The sequence below is a fragment of the Homo sapiens genome, chromosome 6 (assembly GCF_000001405.40).
Source record: "Homo sapiens chromosome 6, GRCh38.p14 Primary Assembly".
Lineage (NCBI taxonomy): Eukaryota > Metazoa > Chordata > Mammalia > Primates > Hominidae > Homo > Homo sapiens.
In genome coordinates this window covers 164,278,030-164,300,812 of record NC_000006.12, presented here as the reverse complement: position 1 = coordinate 164,300,812, position 22,783 = coordinate 164,278,030, and the positions used below count along the sequence as shown (strand labels likewise).

Sequence of the window (22,783 nt, the reverse complement as noted above, 5' to 3'; positions counted from 1 at the left end):
ACGTGATTTGAAAAACATTTGTAAAGCTGAATTAGAGCCCTCAAATTTTATTTTTCTAGGAAAGGACAAATAATTAAACAACATCTTTGGAGTTTGCTGTGACTTCTGTACATCTAACAAGCTGTACTTTCACAGAAGCTTTCTGGAGGTTGCACAGTTATTAAAACCAGTTAGGGGCCTTATCTTTTGGGAAACAAAAACTTACATTCCTTAGAGCCAAGGAGATGCCCCGACTAAGAACACATCTGCGGCACTAATTTCATCAGCGTTTCTGTCTTCAGGAATTCAAGGTCTAATTTTGCTTATCTAACAAGTAAGACATGAAAGAATAAATTGGCTCATTACTGGGTCAATTGGTTAAAATAATAATTATAAATAATAACCTAAAATGATAGAGATTTTTTTTTGCAGCAGTCCAGTTGGGGGAAATGAAAGGGTCCATTGATCACTCTGTTGGGTGAGAGAACAGGATGACCCATGCTGAAGGATGTCACACTATCACACTGAGGTATAATTTTTAGCCCAGAGAGACAGAGTATGCTATATATATATATAATTATATATTATTATGAATATATATAATATATAACTAGCTGAACTAAATTCAAAAGAGTTTAATTGAAGAGCAAATCGGGTAGTCTCCCAAGCCAGAGTAGGCTCAGAGACTCCAGCACAGCCATGCGGTAGAAGATTTATGGACAGAAAAAGCAAAGTGATGTACAGAAAACAGAAGTGAGGGACAGAAACAGCCAGATTGGTTACAGGTTGATGTTTGCCTTATTTGAACATGGTTTGAACAGTTGGCCACCTTTGATTAGTCAAAACTCAGTGATTGACACAAGAATAGGCTACAGTCTGTATACAAATCCATTTAGGTTATAGTTCATGATGTACCAAGAAACTGTTAGGCCAAATTTAAAATTACTATAAGGAGGCAGATTTAGGCTAAACTTGATTTAACATTATATATGCATATATAATGTTATATAATTTGTTAGATTTAGGCTAAACTTGATTTAACATTATGTATACATACATAATGTTATATAATTACATTCCCTGCCAGGTGATAACAGAAAAATTCTTGGTTCTTTCAGAAAACTTTTGGCATTTGATTTTTGCTGAGTTTGCTGCCTTCTCTATTAGAGGTAGAGGGTACATGTAAAATGAGTCCAATATGGTCCCTGTATTAGTCCATTCTCACGCTGTTATGATGAAATACCCGAGACTAGGTAATTTATAAAGAAAATAGGTTTAATTGACTCACAGCTCTGCATGGCTGGAGAGGCCTCAGGAAACTTATAATCATGGCAGAAGGCAAATCTTCACAGGGCAGCAGGAGAGAGAATGAGGACCAGCAGGGGAAATGCCAACGCTTATAAAACCATCAGATCTCATAAGACTCACTCATTATCATGAGAACAGCAGGGGAAACCACTCCTATGATTCAATTACCTCGACCTGGTCCCACCCTTGACATGTGAGGATTATTACAATTCAAGGTGAGATTTGTGTGGGTACACAGATCCAAACCATATCAGTCCCTTATCCCAGAACCCCATATTTAGAAGGGTAGTAGACCAGCACATAATTTCTGACATTATAAGAAAAAAGAGATGGAAAAACAGGGCAGTGTTGGAGTAAAGAGAAAGAGGCCATTTGGATTCAGAAAACCAAGAATGGCTTTATAATGAACAGAAATTTTGAAATGCCCCTTGTAACAAGAATAAGATTTTAATATGTTGGGAGGAAAATAGGAATTCTGGGTTGAGGGAATTGTATGGACACAGCCAAGGCACTGGGAATAGGGCTCAGCCTGTCCACATGCATTTAGGGCGGGGTCCACAAAACTTTCCTGTAAAGGGCCTTGTAGTAGTGTTACAGCCTCTGCAGGCCACGAGGTATCTATTGCAGCCACTCTACAGCCATAGTAGAAAAAACAGCCTAGACTCTAGAGAACACGGACATGGTGAGCATAGCTGGGGTCCAGTCAAACTTTATTTACAAAACAGGTGGCATGCAGCCATAGTTTGCTACCTACAAACAACATGAGGAAAGAGATTTTTCTCTATGTTGTTCACAAGTTTATCTCAAATACATAGCTCAGAGCTTGACCCATAGTGCATGCCCAGTGAACATCCGTTAAATGATGAATAAAAAAAAAGAAATAGAGCCTGAAGCTGGACACGTAACATAGGACCACATCAAAGAACCTATGACTGTCATCATAAGAAGACTTGGTTTTAGTTTGCAGGCAGCGAGAGACCACTGAGGTCACTCCCGTCTCGGGATGGCATCTTGGCAGATGAGCTGATGGATTAAAAAGCTGAGATATTTGGGGAAGAAAGGTAGGCTGACATATTGCACCTCATGTGAGAGGATACAGATCCTGAGTTAGAACCTGAGTGTTGGACATAAGTAAAATACTCCTTTCAGAGCCTGAACCTGCAGGACTCAGCCAGGTGCTAAAGAGCAGAGGAAAGACTTGGTGACCAGGAGCATGGCTGGGCCACTCTGTGAATCACAGAAGCCAGGATGTCTGCAGTAATGAGTAGACAAGTTTTTTAATTTTGAAAAGTCAGGTGTAGTTGAAGGTGATACATCCACGTGTAAATGTCATGTCAGGTAGGTTATTAGAAAATTGGGTTATTAGAAAGTCCTTCTCTTGAGAAATAATTAGATGTGACAGACTCTGTCATATACATTACCAGTGAGTTCTTCGGCCTGTAGTAGGCTTACCTGCATGGCATTTACAGGATGGTTCCCAAACCTCCTCCATTTAGGTAAGAAGGAAACAAAGCCAGGAACCTCTATGGAAACTGTTTTCATCGTGCATACATCATGGGTCATCACACCCAACTACCTGCCAGATATCTAATTTATTTAGAGAGCCTTGCAAACAAAAACAACAACAACTCCAAAAAATAAATAAATAAATAAATAAATAAATAAATAAATAAATAACTAACCCAAAACCATGACAAAAGCAGCAATGGGGTGGAGTTTCCATGAAGTTTATATTTTTGAAGCAGGACAAAGCTTTGACATTGGAGGTCATAAGCTTGGCAGAAAAGCCAAGGGAAAAGTTTTAAGTTGTGTACCATCTTGGTCACCAGTGCAGTGGCTAACAACAAATGTCACTGACCACCGTTCAGTGTGGAGAGAGAGATCTCTGGGAACCAAAAGTACATGTACTTGCCATTTTACTTATGAGTCTATTCCTAAAACATTGTTCTCTGTCATTACCGTTGCAAGAAGAAACACTGATGAGAGCCGCAATGGAATTAGGTCAGAAATTTACAAATAAATTTACTTCTATAGAAGTCAAAGTATAGGTTAAAAGTCTAGGAAGGAAGTGAAGTCAAAGGTTGAGTAGGCTTTGTTCTTCCTGAAGACCATGGTGCATGTTGTATAATTGTTCTCCCCTTTCTCTAGATATTCACTCTCAAAAATGTTGTTTCTGAGGATCCTGTTTTCTAGAGAAAATGTTACAAACTCAAATTGTTGCAGGGACCAAACAGGTAACATCAGTGTGGATAAAGTGGGCCAGAAATAACAAAAGGGAGTGAAGGGTCAGAGTGAACCATCAGAGAGGACCAGGCCTTCCTTGAAAAGATGTGGGGGATGGGATGCTGCAATTCAATTCAAGCAGAATGTGTCTTTGTGTTATTAGCTATTACCATTTATATTCAAAGAAAGACATATATACATTTTATGTGAAATCTATAAGTGCTTAAATGTTGACAATTTTTTAAAAATATACATGAGTCAAACAAAAGATATCCATACGTCCTCAATTGGCTATTTCATGTTGTGGGTCATTTTCTTGTGGGAAATCATTGATGAATTGTTCAAAAATTAATCACCATTAGCTTTTGTCTTGAACAAATGTATTTATAAAAATTACATGGGATGTGAGTCAGAGAAAAACAGAAAATCACTTAGGGAGAGTTATCATAATAGCTAACTCTTTTATTATATTAACCATGTGCTATGTAATGTTCTAAGTGTTTTATGATACAGCAACTCATTTACTCCTCAGAACAGCTTTGTCAATAAAGTACTAGTATGATTTTCTGGAAGAAAACAGTGAGGCACAGGAAGATTAAATAACTCACTCAACTTTACAGAGCTTGTAAGTGACAAATCCCCAAGTGGAATGTCGGTAGAATAACTCCAGTTCCTATAATCTAACCACTATCCAGTGGTTTTTGCCTATTCATCCTGGGACGGCGGAGAGTTATGCAGCCTATCTGGCATACGTTTTCTTATTGCTCAAATGGGCCTTACTAACTGCCCCATATGGGTGTTGTGATGTAAAAATAGATCAGACAGATGAGGCTCTTGTGTACTACCAACAGTTATTCAAACATAAATGGTTATGAAAAAATTTGATATAAGGTACTTAGCATTGCTGAGACCAAAGGTTATATCACCAAGCTTTCTGAGAACAGCTGCTGTCACCTCAGTAATTCCACAGCCAAAGTATAGCAGACAGCACAGGTGTAACATTTGGTAAGTGGGTACCCAAGGCATCTCTTCCCACTCTGCTGCCACCCTTGGACTATTAAATGTTTTAAATAGGTGCTGAATACACAGGGACACTGAGTGTAGCCAATTATATAGTGACAATGACACAGTAAAAAGTACAGACAGTGTTACGGCTATCTTTTTGTTTGTTTTTTGGTTTTTTTTTGCGTGTGTGTTTTGTTTCTGTTTTTGTTTTTGTTTCTTCTCAGTGTGTCTCCACTTCCAGCTACTTGAGCTCCCGATGAGTAAAGTTCCAGAATATCCTCCACAGTTTTGTAGCCATCACGCAAGAGCAGGAATGTAACATCCTGATTTATAAATCAGAATCACCTTTTAAAATTCCACTATCTGTAGGTCTGGTGGTAATTATTCCTGCTACACTGGAGATGAAAGAAATTATGGTCTAACCATGGTGATCTGCCTCAACTAGGAAACTGAATTACTAATCAATTACAGAGTAGCGAAGATGTTATTATTCTCACTGCTTTGGGAGTGTAATATTCTGCCATAGATAAGGAGGAAAATAAAAAATAAACAGCTGAATCTCATGCTCCACCCAATGTGCTAAAAGTCAACTGTATCCAAAACAGAGAGCCAGCCAACGCCAGGAAAGAATGGAATATTTAAAAGTGAGCTTCTGATATTTCATCCAGGGGAAACTGACAACTTAAATAAAACCGGTTTTGTAAGGCAGCAAGGCTGATAGAAGCACAGAATCATAATGGATATTCTTGTATAGCTCTCCAAGAGGGGTCCGTCAGATGGCAGGGACACAGTAGGAGGAGCCCACCTGGCAGCGAGTAGGGTGCTGGCCTCTCGGAGCCCAACCTGCAGCACCAGAGAGTGAGCATTTAAAACGAGCTGATACAGCTCAGTGCCTAGCACACAGCAGTCAGCCAGTGTTAACTCCACCTTTTATTAACTCGAGAAGCCAGAAACATGGGCTGGGCCATCCAAAAAGCAAAAATAACATGTAGTCATAACATCAATTTCTGAGGTAAGTGCCTTGCCCAAAAGGGCCACTGTGGCTGTAACTCTATGGCATGTGAACATTTTCTTTCTAAAAAAATAATCTTGGCTGGGTGCGGTGGCTTGCGCCTGTAATCCCAGCATTTTGGGAGGCCAAGGCGGGCAGATCACCTGAGGTCAAGAGTTCGAGACCAGCCTGACCTAATGGAGAAGCCCCGTCTCTGCTAAAAATACAAAATTAGCTGCGCGTGGTGCTGCATGCCTGTAATCCCAGTTACTCAGGAGGCTGAGGAAGGAGAATAGCTTGAACCAGGCAGGCAGGTGGCAGTGAGCTGAGATCGTGCCATTGCACTCCAGCTTGGGCAACAAGAGGGAAACTCTGTCTCAATAATAATAATAATAATCATCATCATCATCATCATCATCATCTTACTTCTTAAAATCCTAAGAATAGCAATAAACTATCCCTGCAGTCCAGATAATGTAGTAGATTGCACAAATGGCCAAAACACTTTACATCCCATGCCTGTGCCTTTATGTGATTCTTATGTGACTACAGCATCCCTCCCCCTCCGCCAACAAGAAGTGGAGGCTCTTTTCCTATTCTTTAAATCTGGTCTGGCTCTGTCCCTCCCTTTGGCCTAAAGAATACACTAGATGTGAACTGGCGCTAGCTCTGAGACAAGTCCCAAGAGGCGTGCACATCCCACTTCCTCTCTTGGAAGCCCCTCTCCACTGTGTGAACAGCCCACACTGGCATGGTGAGGATGGGGGCCAGGTCCCAGTTGAGGATGACCTCTGCCTGCCCACAATTAGCCTGGCAGTTGACCTTAGATGTATAAAGGAGCTTTACTCAGGCTAGAAGAACCATTAAACTGAGTGTTACCCAGAACCGTAAGCTAAAAAGATGTGTATTTGTCAAACTACTATGTTTTGGCATGGTTTGTTTCTCAACAAAAACAAACTGAACATTTTCAGACCCAGAAAGGCAGTGAAGCCGAGTTTGCGTTCCACCTTGCACCGCCCAGCTGAGTCTGCTGAGGCATCATTCATCACTTTGCACAGCCTGTAACAGATCAGCGTTACTAGGCAGCAGCTGGCCAAGAATTGTCTCTTTCATGTTAAAGGGACACTAAATAATGTCCTGTTATTGATCCAGGTGTGTCGACTGCTAGACTAGAGTCAGAAGTTCTGTGGATGTTGAATAGAGCAGTTGCAGATTTCTTTATTCCAAAAACTTGGACATTCATAGAATCACACTTCAAAATACTATCGTAATTTGACATGAACGGTGACACTGAAAATAGTCATTAAAGAAAAACTCAGGTTCATTGATTTGCAAAATTGGGAACATATATGTTTTTTAGTTTTCACTCCTTCTCCTGCAGAGGTCTTTGGGGAATAAGCTGGAGAACAAAGTTACTAGGGAAATACCATCAAGTTCTGCTTATGCAATGAAGAATGTTTCTGTTTATTGCATCTAACTATAAAGATAGAGTATACTGCATGCAAGGGCTGCTATAACGAAATACAAAAGACTGGGTGGCTTACACAACAGAAATCTATTTTCTCATATTTCTGCAGGCTGGAAGTCCAAGGTGAAGATGTTGGCAGGGTTGGCTCCTTCTGAGGCTGTGAGGAAAGGATCTGTTCCAGACCTCTCTCCTTTACTTTGTGGATGGCCGCCTTGTCCCTGTGTCCTCACCTAATCTTCCCTCTGTACGTGTGTCCAAATTTCCTCTTTTTATAAAGATGCCACTCATATTAGATTTGGCCCAGCCTAATGACCTCCTTTCCACTTAGTTACCTTTTGAAAGACTGTCTCCCAATACGGTCACATTCTGTTTTAGCCAGGTCTGGCTACTATTACAGAATACCCTAGGCTGTGCCTCAGAGTTCTGGAGGCAGGAAGTCCAAGATCAAGGCACCAGCAGATCAGTGTCTGGTGAGAGTCTCTTTCTGGTCTGCAGATGGCCATCTTCTGGTTGTGGCCTCACATGGCAGAGAGAAAAATCACCTCTCTTGTGTCTCTTCTTATATAGCACTAACCCCATTCAAGAGGGATTCACCCTCACGACCTAGTTACTGCAACATTGGGGATTAGGGTTTCAACATATGAACTTAGGGTGAATACAGACATTCAGTCCATCACTTATTCTGAGGTGTTGGGGTAAGAATTTCCACATACAATTTTTTGATTATTGGGGACACAATTTAGTTTATAACATAATGGCAAACATGGAAAGAAAGCTAAGAAAAAAAATATTAAATGCGGAACAGAAAATGCTGAACAGAATGAGATGACCTAAAACTACACAATAAGCAAGTTGCAAGGTTTTCCCTTTTACACCTCCAGATGACTACAATATGCACCATTTCTGTGAGGCAGAGGAGAATGAATCTTATTTTCTGCGTTAGACAAAAGGTAATAAGCCCTGCAAGTACTTACACAGTCTTGGTGGAAATACACTGAAATTTTCTTTTCTTAAAAAAGAAATATATTCTAAAAGAAGTCTATCCTCCTTTTTAAACTACAGCTGTTTGTAATGCCAAGGGTTATTTAGCAACATACATTAGTTTGTTTATTTGTTTTCTGATATAAAAATCTTTGTTAAACATCTTATGGTGTGCTGCTATAAAGACACATGCACACGTATGTTTATTGTGGCACTATTCACAATAGCAAAGACTTGGAACCAACCCAAATGTCCATCAATGATAGACTGGATTAAGAAAATGTGGCACATATACACCATGGAATACTATGCAGCCATAAAAAAGGATGAGTTCATGTCCTTTGTAGGGACATGGATGAAGCTGGAAACCATCATTCTCAGCAAACTATCGCAAGGACAGAAAACCAAACATCACGTGTTCTCACTCATAGGTGGGAATTGAACAATGAGAACACTTGGACACAGGATGGGGAACATCACATGCTGGGGCCTGTCATGGGGTAGGGGGAGGGGGAGGGATAGCATTAGGAGATATACATAATGTAAATGACGAGTTAATGGGTGCAGCCCACCAGCATGGCACATGTATACATATGTAACAAGCCTGCACGTTGTGCACATGTACCCTAGAACTTAAAGTATAATAATAATAAAAAATAAAACTAAAAATAAAAAAAATCTTATGGTGAAGGAAGCTTCCAAAAAAAGATGCAAGGTAATATGGCCATGAGCTTGAATTATATTTACTCTTGTCTTATTCATTCATCACATTACATCTATGCACTAGACATTGAGCTGGGCATTGTATGGCTGGCATTTGTCAGACCAAATTGTGCTGTGATATCATGATATCTGCTCTATTTTTTCTAAGTATAAAATCATGTAGATTTTGTTCTAATTGTCATTCAGTTGAATCATAATTGTATTTTTGTGGTCTTATTATGCCACAGTGATTTTTCTACAGAAATAAGATGCTGTTCTTTCACTCAGTGAGCTTTTAGACTGGTAGAAAAGACTAAGATATTAAAAGAAAAGAAAAGAAACAAGTACATAAAGTGCTACCGGGACAGATTAAAAGTAGCTGTCAATTTTTTGATGCTTTTAAAGGTGTGGGCTTATTTTCTACCCCATTGTTTTCTGCATAAGCTTCATGATGCCTGCCTAACAGAGAACAGTGAAAGACAGGTTGTGTCAGTTTTCAAGCTGAGACATTAAGGGAATGGTAACCTCCACTTCTCTCCTTTGGGACACTTGCTGTGTAACCCAGCTGCCATGCCATGAGAAAGCATAAGCAGCTAAACAGGGAGACTTATTTGGAGAAAAAGCAGGACCCCCACCAAGAATCCCAGTTGAAATTCCAGCCAAAATCCAGCAGGAACTTGTCAGCCATATGAGTGAGAAAATAAGTTCCATGACATGGAGCTAAGATGAACCATTCCTGCTGAGCCCTGTCCACATTTCAGATTGTGGCAAAATAAATGATTGTTATTGCATTAAATCACAAAGCTTTGGTGGATAAATACCAGAACACCTATAAACTTCTATGAAGGAAAACTCTTGACAGCCATGAAAACAAATATAATAATGGGAGCCATCTAATTTTCTCTGAAGGTTTAACAAAAAAATGCTCTCATTTAAATATATTATTATATTACAAAATAAGCTCTCAGATTATAAGAGTATCACTGGATAGGCATTTGAAAAGAGCTTGTGTTTTCTGCTTGGTTGGGCTAAATCATAGCTATTTGTGAAATATCACAAATGTCTGGGCTTGTGTACATAAATTCTAGATTGGAATTTTTGTTTTACAAATACTTTATTCTTGTCCACTTTTTAATCCATAAAATCCTAAGAATGTTATGAGTTTTTGTAGGCATAAATTTTCAGTTTTTATATTTTATTTGAAAATTGTAGCTTTTTGCTATTATATACTTCTTTCTTAATCAATTTTTTAATTGCATTTTCCAATCTTTTAGGTTTGTCTCTTTAAAATAACATATTGCTAGACTTTGTTTCCTTGTAATTTGACAGTTTTTATCTTTTCATAGTCATTTATTTACTTGAATTTATAGTTCTGATTAATACATTTGATTTTATGTTTTCCTCTATCTTATTAAAGTGGATGAGGGCCTAGTTTTTATTTTAAATAATCTCAGAAGTACAAGATATAGTCCATGCTGACTTTTTTCTATTTCATAATATTAATTACCAAAGGAAATCAATAGAAGAAACATAAATTTTATATTTATCTTTTTTGTAGAAATGTTATTGTTTAGAAAGTGCTTTTTAAATATTATTTTCTCATTCTTATTAATGTTATTTTATTCTCATTTATACTTGATGAAACTAAGAGGTTTATTGATTTGTTAAAGTCACATCACCAGTGGTTGTGAAGTGATCTCAATCTTGTCTTGTCTTCTTTATAGAAAGAGAGAAGCCAAACACCTTTGTTCTGTGGACTCTACCGTAGTCATGTAGGGAGCAAGTGTTGGGGGATGGGATACTTGGTTCCCAATCCTGTCCATGTGGACAACCTTTTGCCTGGGGGACACTTGTGGTCACTAGTCACCCTCCAACTCTCCACTCCAGCCTCAGCCAGTAGAGGAGGCGTGATTCATCCGACTGCTCAGTTTGGAAAGACAAATGAGGTGAATCAGCCAGCCATGCCCCTCTCTCTTCCAAGTGAAGCTGCTGGCCCCCCATGCACAAGGTCCCTTCTTGGTTTCTCTAGGCCAAGTGTTTTGGAACCCAAGCACCAACCTTGTGGGTAGATGCCCACCTGGGTCCAGCACTTTTGGTGAGTAGGTAATCAATCCATCTCAACCAGTGATTCTGATACCAGAATACCACTTATCCATGCATGGAATCCCCGTCTGTATCATCAGATTCATTAGTAATAAAAGTAATATTCTGTTCTCCCAACTGCCTAATGTCTGGGTTTTATTTCTTTGTCAGTTCAGAATGCAGATATAAAAGAGGTATGTTATGTATGTTATTTGTGGGGGATACCTCTTGAACTTCAAGAGGAAATGTGTGAAACAATTTGAATCTTGTTATTTAATTTGGATTTTGTGAGGGAAATGGCCTATAGTAGCCTATAACTATGACAACAACATTATCTCATCTGCAATAACAAACGTTGGCTCTCAAAAGGTTTCCTTTACTAGTTCAAAAGTAGGTCAGCAAAAGATCACAGTGGTTGAAATAATTTGAGGGGAGGAAGATTATGTTTAAATGATCCTTAAAACAAAGGCAATCCATGTAGTCAGCTAAGCCATTTAAAGAACAGTTTGGGGGATAAGATATAATAACATAAGTATATGAATATTCTATAACATCTACATCTTAACTTCTGTTTCAGGTCAGAATTTAAAAGCACAGAGCTTTGTGAAAATGAAACACATATACCCATGCACTGTGGCATTTCCAAATCAGAACATGGAAAAGCAAAATGGCAACACTTTTATTCAACAAATATTTAGCCAGTGCCAACCATATGTAATTAACTGAAAGAGGAACACAAAATAAATTAGAGATGGACCTTGACCACAAAGAGTTTATTCTCTGAAAGGAAATATGACAGGTGCATACAATTCTAAAATATATGGTAAAATATGTTTTGCCTTAAAAATCTACAGTTAAGCTGTCATGGGGATTTGGAGAATGAGGGCTGCTTTCATTTTGGGCAGAGGAGGGTACAGTGATGAAGGTAGAGAAGAGGCAGCACTGGTATTGGGTCTGATGGTTGGATGGGGGGTGAGATTTTAGGTGAAGAGTCAGAGGGAACCTCTGGGAAAATCCAGTGAGTTAGAGCGGACTGAATTAATACAATCATGGAAGAGATCTTTCTCTTAATTTCCAAGTAAGGCAAAATAAGCTGTAACAGAAGCTCACAGTACATGCCACACACATCCAGGAGTGTGTAGAATGAGGAACCAAAACAAGAAACAAGAAATGGCTCCACTCCTGTGACACAAAGAGCCCCTAAAGGGAATGAAAATAAGATTTAGGCAAGGAGACAGGCCCAGGTCATTGAGGGTTGGCAATATGAAAGTAGACAGTTTGGATTATTATTAATAATTCTTCTTCTTCTTCTTCTTCTTCTTCTTCTTCTTCTTCTTCTTCTTCTTCTTCTTCTTCTTCTTCTTCTTCTTCTTTCTTCTTCTTCCTCTTCTTCTTCTTCTCTTCCTCTTATTCTTATTCTTACTCTTCTGCTTCTGCTTCTTCTTCCTTTTCTTTTCTCTTTTCTTTTCTTTTTTTTTCTTTCTTTTTCTTTTCTTTTCTTTTTTTTCTGTGTTTCTTTTGATACTGTGTTCACTCTGTCACCCAAGCTGGAGTATGGTGTCGCAATCATAGCTCATTGCAGTCTCAACCTCCTAAACTCAAGCAATCCTTCCATCACAGCCCCCCAGGTAGCTGAGACCACAGGTGTGTGCCACCATGCCTGAGTAATTTTTAAAATGTTTTTCTAGAGATTGGATCTGGCTGTGTTGCCCAGGCTGGTCTGGAACTCCTGGGCTCAAGTGAGCCTCCTGCCTTGGCCTCCCAAAGTCCTGGGATTACAGGTCTGAGCCACTGCACTTGGCCTCTGGACTACATATTCTCTACTTGAATGGAGAGCTACTGAGGGTTTCGGAACAGGTTAGTGCCTCAAATCAGGGGTGTGCTTGAAGTGCATGAGGCCGAATTGAAGGTGAGAGGCCATCACAGTGATCTAGGGCCATGTGTCACAGGTAGAAAATGCCTCAGTGCCAGCAGTATTCATGAGATGAGGGCAGATGCAACAAATGTGAGAGGGAAATAAAGGGGAATCATCAATGGGTAAGAAACCAAGTTGGAGGAGAGCAAGGGGTGAAGGGTAAAGGAAGAGGGAGTTCCTCTCTGGATGCATTGAAATGATCCACCTTCTCTTTCTTCTCAGCACATTACCCACATGAATACACTAAGAGCTAAAAAGAAGTTCCACATGTTCTCTCCAAATCACTTCAATGGCACTTTTGGCCCCTAATTTTAGGAGGTCCAAGGGTGCCTTCTATCATAAGATTTCTCAAGGGGAAGAATCCCAGTGACTCCCCAGGGAGGAAAAGCCACCCAGCCTAGCCAGCGCCTGCCTGCTCAACAGGCTCTTTGCCCTCGTCCCCATCACTCATTTCCCAGTTCAGTCTGCGTTCAGAGTGTCTGCAAGATTCTGGAAACATCTTACACTTCAGCTTCCCCCTGGAGTAACTGTACTTCACATATTTTTTAATAGGTGTCTCATAATGTCAGTTATATTCCAGTGAGATCTGCATTTGGGACTTGAAGCTTACTGATTCCTGGTACAGTATTTCTATATGTGAATGTTCAGGGCACAGTGGTTTACTGCTTGATACACCTGCCAGTTCATTTGTCACTACTAAGTAACAAATTAGTTCATTATTTGTTTTCCAAAGAAGGCAAAACAAACTGCAGCAAGCAGTCACGGCACATAGACAGAATGCTAACCTCGCCAAGGAAAGCCTCCTTTATTATTTTGAATTTGAAAAGAACATAGAAAAGGAGGCTCTCCACCTGTGCTACAAAAGGCAAAGTGATAAGAACAAGCTTAATATTCATTGTCCAGCCTAAGAATCGATTTCTTGTCTGGTCATTTTGGTCACTGAATTTTCATTATTGTAGATTCTCCAACAGCAAATAAATGGTAGGCATTAATATTAATAACTATGTGAGGTAGGATAAATACTATTAATCTGAGTTCACAGAGCATAAATCTGAGACTCAAGAAGGTTAAGTAGCCAGCCCAACAGCTCCCAGCTCGTGGCATATCCTGTGACGTGTTTAAAAAAGAAATCTAAAAATTGATGTTAGAAATTCTCTATGCTTTCCATCGCAATGATTTGTCAACTCAAGTCACTTGTTATTTGCCTCCACATTTCTAAAGATCCCTCACCAGAGAAAGAAAATTGCATTAGCTGCATTTTTAAGAAAGCATAAGGCCGGGCATGGTGGCTCAAGCCTGTAATCCCAGCACTTTGGGAGGCCGAGGAAGGCGGATCACGAGGTCAGGAGATCGAGACCATCCTGGCTAACACGGTGAAACCCCGTCTCTACTAAAAATACAAAAAATTAGCCGGGCGTGGTGGCGGGTGCCTGTAGTCCCAGCTACTCGGGAGGCTGAGGCAGGAGAATGGCGTGAACCCGGGAGGTGGAGCTTGCAGTGAGCCGAGATCACGCCACTGCACTCCAGCCTGGGCAACAGAGCAAGACTCCGTCTCAGAAAAAAAAAAAAAAAAAAAAGCATAGAGGAAGTGATTCTGAAGTTTCTTCCACTAGGGTATGACATTGGAGTTGACATTTCAAATCATAGTGCAGGTGTTTATAAAAGATAGAGGAACCTGGACCAAGACTGTCTAGAAATGGTCTCATTTTTCATACCGGAGAATGGAAGCATCTATTACTTCTACTCCAGAAACCCTTGCTAACTTACTCAAGAGGCAGAATAATTTTGATAAAAGAACACGTGGTCCCATTATCTCCGAAGGGCCTAGAATAAAAGCTTCAATTTTAAAAAAAATGATGAATAAATAGTTACAATTAACTGGGCACAATGCCCAGTGGAAAACCACACTCAGTCCTATCAAAAGAAGACACTTTAAGCACACGGGCCAGTATTTCTTTCTCCATTCAAGTGATATAGGAGAATAATTTGTGCTCTTAAGGAACATGATCATGAGAACAAAAATGTTTTTAAAAGAGGCATTTCTTTATAAGGGAAAATAAAGTTTATCTTTGAATGGTTTTTGGATATTTTTAACCACCCTCCTCAATGAGGAGAAGAGGAAGTGGTTAGAAGTATAATGGGAATGGGGAATTTCTCCTGATTCAGGCCATGATGAGCTGATATTTTTGTTAGCTATAAAAACATTTGCGAAATATCTTTTTGTTCTTCATAGTCTTTGACATTTAATAGGAATTGATGTTATTTGCATGATCATCATGACCTAATTTTCATAGCAACTCCTCTGTTTGAAATAGCTAACCATTTAATAAATATCAGATTTTTAAAATAATTACTTTTAACTTTGGAAACATGATAGAAACTACTGCATGATGGTACATCTACAAGCCCATCTTATCCCCAACTCATGAGTCAAACAACAGAATGACTTTCTGTGGCCATTCTTCTTGCAGCAGCAAAGGAAGTGTGCGCAACTAGCAAATGGGCCATCTGTCTTGAAGCCTGTAGTTCCAACACCACAGCACCCTCATCAATAGATGTCTGGGTTCCAATTGGCTGTGTGGGTGGTAGGAACTAACATCTCTTTTTGATGAAAGAGCCCTACAATGTCATTACCAAGGGTGACATTTTAAATAGCAATCAGACGTATCACTCTTATCTAAAAAGTCACTAAACTTCCATCAAGAGTGCACCTCCTGCTCTGGGAGAACGCACGAGGCACTCTTTCTGCTAAAGCCGGTTAGCCATTTTTAGAATTGCTGACCAAAATACATGTTTTAACATGAGGCAGCTGCTGACATTGATCGAGTCTCTTGTCTGTGCTTATCTTGTCATGGGAACAAATTTTCCGGCTTATATATGGCAGCAGTCCTAATCAATCATGGACCCAGGCTCCTTGGCTTCCCAGTGTTTGATAGTGGTGGAAAATCCATTCATAGAAACTTGGAAAGGTGGAAGAAGATGACATTAAATAGAGGAAAGACTTTACTCAGTATCCCAGATTTTTGATAAAGTAATCTAACTCTTGTTACACAGAAGAAGGCACAGAGATTTGGCACTTCTTGCAGAAATAAGTCACTAAAAATTTGGAGGAAATCAGAAATGCAAAGCCTGTTTATGATGGCTAGACCAAGGTCAACGCACTTCAAATAAATCTTGTACTGACTTCTTGGTGCAAGTTTCAGAGAATGAAGTGGGGAAAAGATATTTATCTTCCTTACTTGGAAAAGGACACATAATTTGGAGTGGGAACCAAAAAACAATTAAATTATTGCCTCCTTCTCAGGGAAGACACCAACATTTAAATGAAATAAGTAAGATATGAACAAAGCTTAAAAATCATGAAAAATAAAAGTACAGTTACCTAAACTCTTATTATCAACAAGAATCTAGTGAACACCTAATAGGTTTAAGGTATTATCCTTAGCCTCTTCTGGAGAAATAATGTGAAAAAAGCCTAGAGCTTTCAAAGTCATAAAGTCTGAGTTTGAATGCCAGGTATGCTCTTACCAGAGTAAGCAAGTAATAACAATCTCTGAACTTTGAGTCTCACTTAGTAATTGAGAACAAAATCTACCAATTATGTTGTGGGAATCAAAATGATCTATTAATAATTGATTTTAGTAATGTAAAAAATACTTAGTAATCATTGCCCACGTATTATGCTCTGTTCTAGATTTAAAATAAGAGTTAGTAAAAGAGACAAAACATCCCTCCCTCAAAGAGTGTGCATTCTAGTGGGAAAGTTGCACAGCACAAAACATAAAACGGTACAGGAAATGCATGGCAGGCAGTGGATGCTAAAATAAAGTAGGAACCAGAAAATAGGAAATGTTCAGTGGTGTGAAATTTTATGGCCGGGTGCGGTGGTTCATGCCTATAATCCCAGCACTTTGGGAGGCCGAGGTGGATGGATCACCTGAGGCCAGGAGTTTGAGACCAGCCTGGCCAACATGGTGAAACCCTGTCTCTACTAAAAATATAAAAATTAGCCAGGCATGGTGGCTTGTGCCTGTAATCCCAGCTACTTGGGAGGCTGAGGCAGGAGAATCACTTGAACCCAGGAGGCGGAGGTTGCAGTGAGCCGAGATCATGCCACTGCACTCCAGCCTGGGCGATACAGCAAGACTCTGTCTCAGAAAAAAAAAAAAAAAGAAAGAAAGAAATTTTACGTAGGTTCACCATGGAAAGCCTCACTGAGAATGTGAAATTTGGGTAAAGGCCTAAAGCAGGTGAGAGAGTGAGCTGTGCAGATAACTGGGGAGAGTGACAAAAGAGACATTGCAAAGGCAGGATGACATTGGAGTTGACCTTTCAAATCAGAGTGCAGGTGTTTATAAAAGATAGCGAAACCTGGAGCATGAGTGCCCACAAATGGTCTTGTTTTGCATACCAGAGAAAGAGAGCATCTTTACTTCTACTCCAGAAACCCTGGCTAAGTTACTTTTTTTGCAAAGACATTGCCAAAATCAGGATGCACAGGGCCCCTGAAGTGCGAGCTGGTCTGATGGGTTCCAGGAAACGTAAGAAAGCTGGGGTAGCTCGAAAGAGTGAGCAAGAGACAGAAAGGGAGCTGAGCCTGCAGGTCACGTGTGCTTGGCCATGACAATCTCAGCCCAGCATAGAATGGACTTGGACTTTTTAGCTTTTCTTAGGGAGAAGTCACTGGAGGTTTTAAAGCAGAGGAGGGATCCTTGTGGCTACTGTATATTTAAGATTCCAAAGAGGAACAAGAATAGAAGCAGACTATTGCAATAATCCGGGAGAAACATGACAGGCTAGAGCAGTACCAGGAGAGAAGGTGAGAAGCGGTAAGGTTCTGGATGTATTTGAAGGGAAAGCAAACAGGATTTGATGACAGATAAGTGTGGAGTGTTTGAGAGCAAAAAGTAAATAATACTATGACTTTTTGAACGGAGCAACTGGAAAAATGTATTTACCCATAACTGAAATGGGGAAGACTGCAGGAAAAACAGGTTTAGGAGTGAAATATCATGAACTCAGTTTTGGATGTTTGAAGTTTACAATGTTTATTTGATGTACAAGTGAGATGTCAACTGGGCAGTTGGATATGTTAATAGGAAATTTGAAGAAGAGGGGTAAACCCTAGACAAAACAAAACACTGAGTATCCTCTCATGTGGATGTAATTTAAAGCCTCTGGTTTGGATAACATTATCAAAGGGTTGATTATAGTTGAACAAGAGATGATGTCTGAGAACTAGCTGGGCCTGTGAGTATCTCAGCTATTAGAGATCAAGAGAAAAGGGACATTGCAAAGGAGGCTGTGAAGAAATAGTCAATAGATTCAGAGGAAAAGCAGTGGACCTTGGTTTTCTGGATACCAAATAAAAAATAATTAAGTAAAAGATTCCAGGAGGAAGGAGTGGTAAAGTGTCCAATATTGCTAATACATCAAATAATGAGTCTTTGAAAAATGACTGTTGGATTTAACAACAGGGTTTTAGAAAAATTGTTGGATTTTTTTTAATGTGGCAGGTACATAATAACTCTACTTTTTGTTAACTGTCTTCCCTTTTCAAAAAGTTTGTTCCCATAACTCTTCTGAGTGTACATTAATTTTTATAGTCCTAAATGTCTAGCCAAGGTGACTGGACCAGGGGTAGATCGTCAGCACTGAGTGGACCAATCAGTTCATCCCTCCTGGGAAGTCAGAAATCCCCAAATTTGGGATACTTGAGATGAGAGTTGAATGTGAACTGGAATTGTACTCAGAAGGGAGGAAGCAGACTACATTAATGAAAGGAGAAAAACAGTTTAAATTTGAATATGTTGTTTTGAGATGAAATGCCTATAAAACATCTAACTGGAGATATTAAACAGGCATTGGCTAGGGCCATGCAAATTGATAAGACTCTTTAGTGAAGCATTTAAAATAAGTAAATCAGAAAATAAGACTCAAAGTGTAAGAAATTAAACAATAAAAATTTAGGATTGAACTTTTTGAAAAAGTAGTCCTGGATTTTTTGATGCCCACGGACAAATGGCAGAAGTCAATGTGAATTCTCTCTGCAATAATTCACCGTCAACTCAAGCCTCTAAAAATTCTTCCAGATAAAGTTTGCAGAATCATGAAATTGTCAACAATAATAAAATACAAAAAATGTTGGATAATCATCAGAAAAAAGCCAAATGAATGGAGATGTCTAATAAAATACAGAATATCCAATTAAATTTGAATTTTACGTAAACAATGAATGTAATCTTTAGTATAAGTATATACCAATATTGCATGGGGAATTTTTATATTTAAAAAAAGGAAAGAAAAGGGAAAATAAAAACACATTATTAATGTGAATTTCAAATTTGTGAACTTTAACTGGGTGTGCTATATTTTTATTTGCTAAATCTAGGAGCCCTATAAATCAATGACAGAAAATTATAGAACGCAAAAGACCAAGAGAAAGCACCAAAAGCTAGCTGAAGTGAAAACAAACAAAAATCATTAAAAAATGGTTGAAACCTCAGTAGAAGCTATACAATCCAGAAAACAATCAGATCCCATGCTTAAAAATGGAAGAAAATATTCACCCTTCAAGAAAGTATGTTTCAAAATGAGGAGAAATTAAAGACAAATAAATTGTTTCATGGAAATAAATTACTGAGTGTCTACTACTGAGAGATTCCTCACTAAACAAAATTCTAAAATATGTTCTTCAGGCAGAAATAAAGAGGCCTCAGATAGAAGGAAAGGTGAACAAAATGTATTGTGATATAAATCCATATAAATATTGACCAAGTAAGACAATAAAAACTACATCTAATTTTCAAGGGCTATAAAAACACACATGATACATATTTGGTAAAATGTTTGGTAAAAGTAGTATATAAAACCAAAATTAAGTGCTGAGCAAGAGTATTGGGAAGTAAAGTAGAGATATAGTCTGCTTTTAGACTTTGGAAATATAATTATAGAAATGAAGCTTGTAAAATTTGTAGCAGAGAAAAATCAAAAGAGAAAAAATTAATTTATATAAGGCAAAAAGGATGATGAGAGATTAAAGAAAATATGCAAAAGGTATAACAAATTGGAAGCATAAAGAAATATGGTAGATATAAGCTCAAATTTATATTATATATATATTTTTTTGAAACACAGTCTCTCTCTCCCAGGCTGAAGTTCAATGGTGCGATCTCAGCTCACTACAACCTTCATCTCCCAGGTTCAAGTGATTCTCCAGCCTCAGCCTCCTGAGTAGTTGGGACTACAGATGTATGCCAGCATGTCTGGCGAATTGTTGTATTGTTAGTGGAGACGGGGTTTCACCATGTTGGCCGGGCTGGTCTCAAACTCTTGACCTCAAGTGATCCATCTACCTCAGCCTCCCAACATGCTGGGATTACAACCAGGCATAAGCCACTGCACCTGGCCCATTATATATATATAAAATAATAATAATGAAATAAATAAATAAATAAAAACTTTGGAGACAGACATATTATACTTGATAAAAAAACAAAATCAAGCTGCATGCTTATATTTGTCCGTTCTCATGCTAATTAAGAAATATCCAAGACTGTGTAATTTATAAAGGAAAGAGGTTTAATTGACTCACAGTTCAGCATGACTGGAGAAGCCTCAGGAAACTTACAATCCTGATAGAAGGAGAAGCAAATATGTCCTTCTTCACACGGCGGCAGGAAGAAATGCCAAGGAAAAGGGGGAAAAAGCCCCTTATAAAACCATCATATCTCATGAGGATTCATTCTCTATCATGAGAACAACATGAGGGTAAGTGCCTTCACGATTCAATTACTTCCCACTGGGTCCCTCCCATGGCACACGGGGATTATGGAAACTACAATTCAAGGTGAGATTTGGGTGGGGACACAGAACCAAAATATATCATCCCACCACTGGACCCTCCCAAATCTCATGTCCTCACGTTTCAAAACACAACCACTCCCTTCCAACAGTCCCCCAAAGTATTCAGCATTGACCCAAAAGGCCAAGTCCAAAGTCTCATCTGAGACAAGGCAAGTCCCTTTTGCATATAAGCCTGAAAAATCAAAAGCAAGTTAGTTACTTTCTAGATACAGGCATTGGGCAAATACACCTGTCCCAAATGGGAGAGGTTGGCCAAAATGACAGGACTATAGGCCCGATGCAAGTCTGAAATCCAGAGGGGCTGCCAAATCTTTAACCTCTGAAATGATCCCCTTTGACTCCATGTCTCATATCCAGGGCATGCTGATACAAGAGGTGAGCTCCTATGGCCTCAGGCAACTCCGACCCTGTGGCTGTGCAGGGTACAGCCCGCCTCCCAGCTGCTTTCATGGGCTGGTCTTGAGTGTCTGCAGCTTTTCCAGGTTCATGGTGCAAGCTATCAGTGGATCTGCCATTCTGGGATGTGGAATATGGTGGCCCTCTTCTCACACCTCCACTAGGCAGTGCCCCAGTGGGGACTCTGTGTGGAGGGTCTGACACCACATTTCCCTTCCACACTGCCCTAGCAGAGGTTCACCATGAGGGCTCCACCCTTGAAGCGAACGTTTGCCTGGACATTTAGGTGTTTCCATACATCCTCTGAAATCCAGCTGGAGATTCCTAAACCTCAGTTCTTGACTTCTGTGCACTCACAGGCCCAATACCATGTGTAAGCTGCCAAGTCTTGGAGCTTGCACTCTCTGAAGCAACAGCCTGAGCTGCACATTGGCCCCTTTCAGCCATGGCTGGAGCTGAAGCAGCTGGGATGCAGGGCACCATGTACCAAGGTTTCATAGAGCAGTACCTGGCCCATGAAACCATTTTTCCCTCCTAAGCCTCTAGGCCTATGATGGGAGGGGCTCCTTTAAGGTCTCTGACATGCCCTGGAGACATTTTCCCCATTGTCTTGGTGATTAACATTGGCTCCTTGTTAGTTATGCAAATGTCTTCAGTTGGCTTGAATTTCTCCCCAGAAAATGGGGTTTTCAGCATCATCAGGCTGAAAATTTTCCAAACTTTTATGCTCTGCTGTCTCTTGAACACTTTGCTGCTTAGAAATTTATTCTGCCAGATACCCTAAATCACCTGTCTCAAGTTCAAGGTTCCACAAATCTCTAGGTTAGGGACAAAATGTTGCCAGTCTCTTTGCATAGCAAGCGTAACATTTACTCCAGTTTCCGAAATGTTCCTCATCTCCAGCTGAGACCACCTCAACCTGAACTTCATTTTCCATATTACTATCAGCATTTTTGTGAAAGTCATTCAACAAGTCTCTAGGAAGTTCCAAACTTTCCCATGTCTTCCTGTCTTCTGAACCCTCCAAGTCTCTAGGAAGTTCTGAATTTACCACATTTTCCTATCTTCTTCTGAGCCCTCCAAACTGTTCCAACCTCTGCCTGTTACCTAGTTCCAAAGTTGCTTCCACATTTTGGAGTATCTTTACAGCACTGCCCCACTACCCTGTACCAATTGAATGTACTAGTCCATTCTAACACTGCTAATAAAGACATACCCAGAACTGTAATTTATAAAGGAAAGGGGTTTAATTGACTCACAGTTCACATGGCTTTCCTTCTTTTGCTTGGTGCTCCTCCTTCCTGCTGCCACGTGAAGAAGGACATGTTTGCTTCCCCTTCTGCCATGATTGTAAGTTTCCTGAGGCCTCCCCAGCCATGAGAACTCACTATCATGAGAACAGCATAAGGGTAACTGCTTCCATGATTCAATTACCTCCCACCAGATCCCTCCTATGACATGTGCGGATTATGGGAACTGCAATTCAAGATGAGATTTGGGTGGGGGCACAGCTAAACCATATCAATGCAATTTGTAAAATAAACAACTTAAATGTAAGACAAGTAAATATTATAAGTTAAAATGTAGAAAAAAATACATATAAGGAAAACAAGCAAAGATAAACTGGTAAAATTATATTACTATCAGGCAAAATAATTTTTAAAGCAAAGGCACTAAATATTTAAAGATGTTTCCACATAATAGCCAAAATTTAGCTTCATGTTTTTTCTGAACTTCCATGTATCGGAAAACTTAGTGTCAAATATATTGAGTGAAGAAAAAAGAAATTTTAAATGTCTGTCATCATAGCAGAAGATTTGAATACAGTACTCTAAGTAGATCAAATAAACAGAAAACCTTGGGGGAT

At 39.4% G+C, this 22,783-nt stretch overlaps 1 long non-coding RNA gene across 2 annotated transcripts; it reads left to right on the top strand.

Moving 5' to 3' along the window:
- Window positions 1-220: 220 nt before the first annotated feature.
- On the top strand, window positions 221-7,120 carry LOC105378109 (uncharacterized). Of its 2 annotated transcripts, XR_943224.3 has the most exons (4): window positions 221-313; window positions 412-508; window positions 2,248-2,348; window positions 3,436-3,586. It is a non-coding gene; the product is annotated as an uncharacterized LOC105378109 (long non-coding RNA). The 2 variants fall into 2 exon arrangements; XR_943223.3 differs by lacking the exons at window positions 2,248-2,348; window positions 3,436-3,586 and adding an exon at window positions 7,084-7,120.
- Window positions 7,121-22,783: the final 15,663 nt, after the last annotated feature.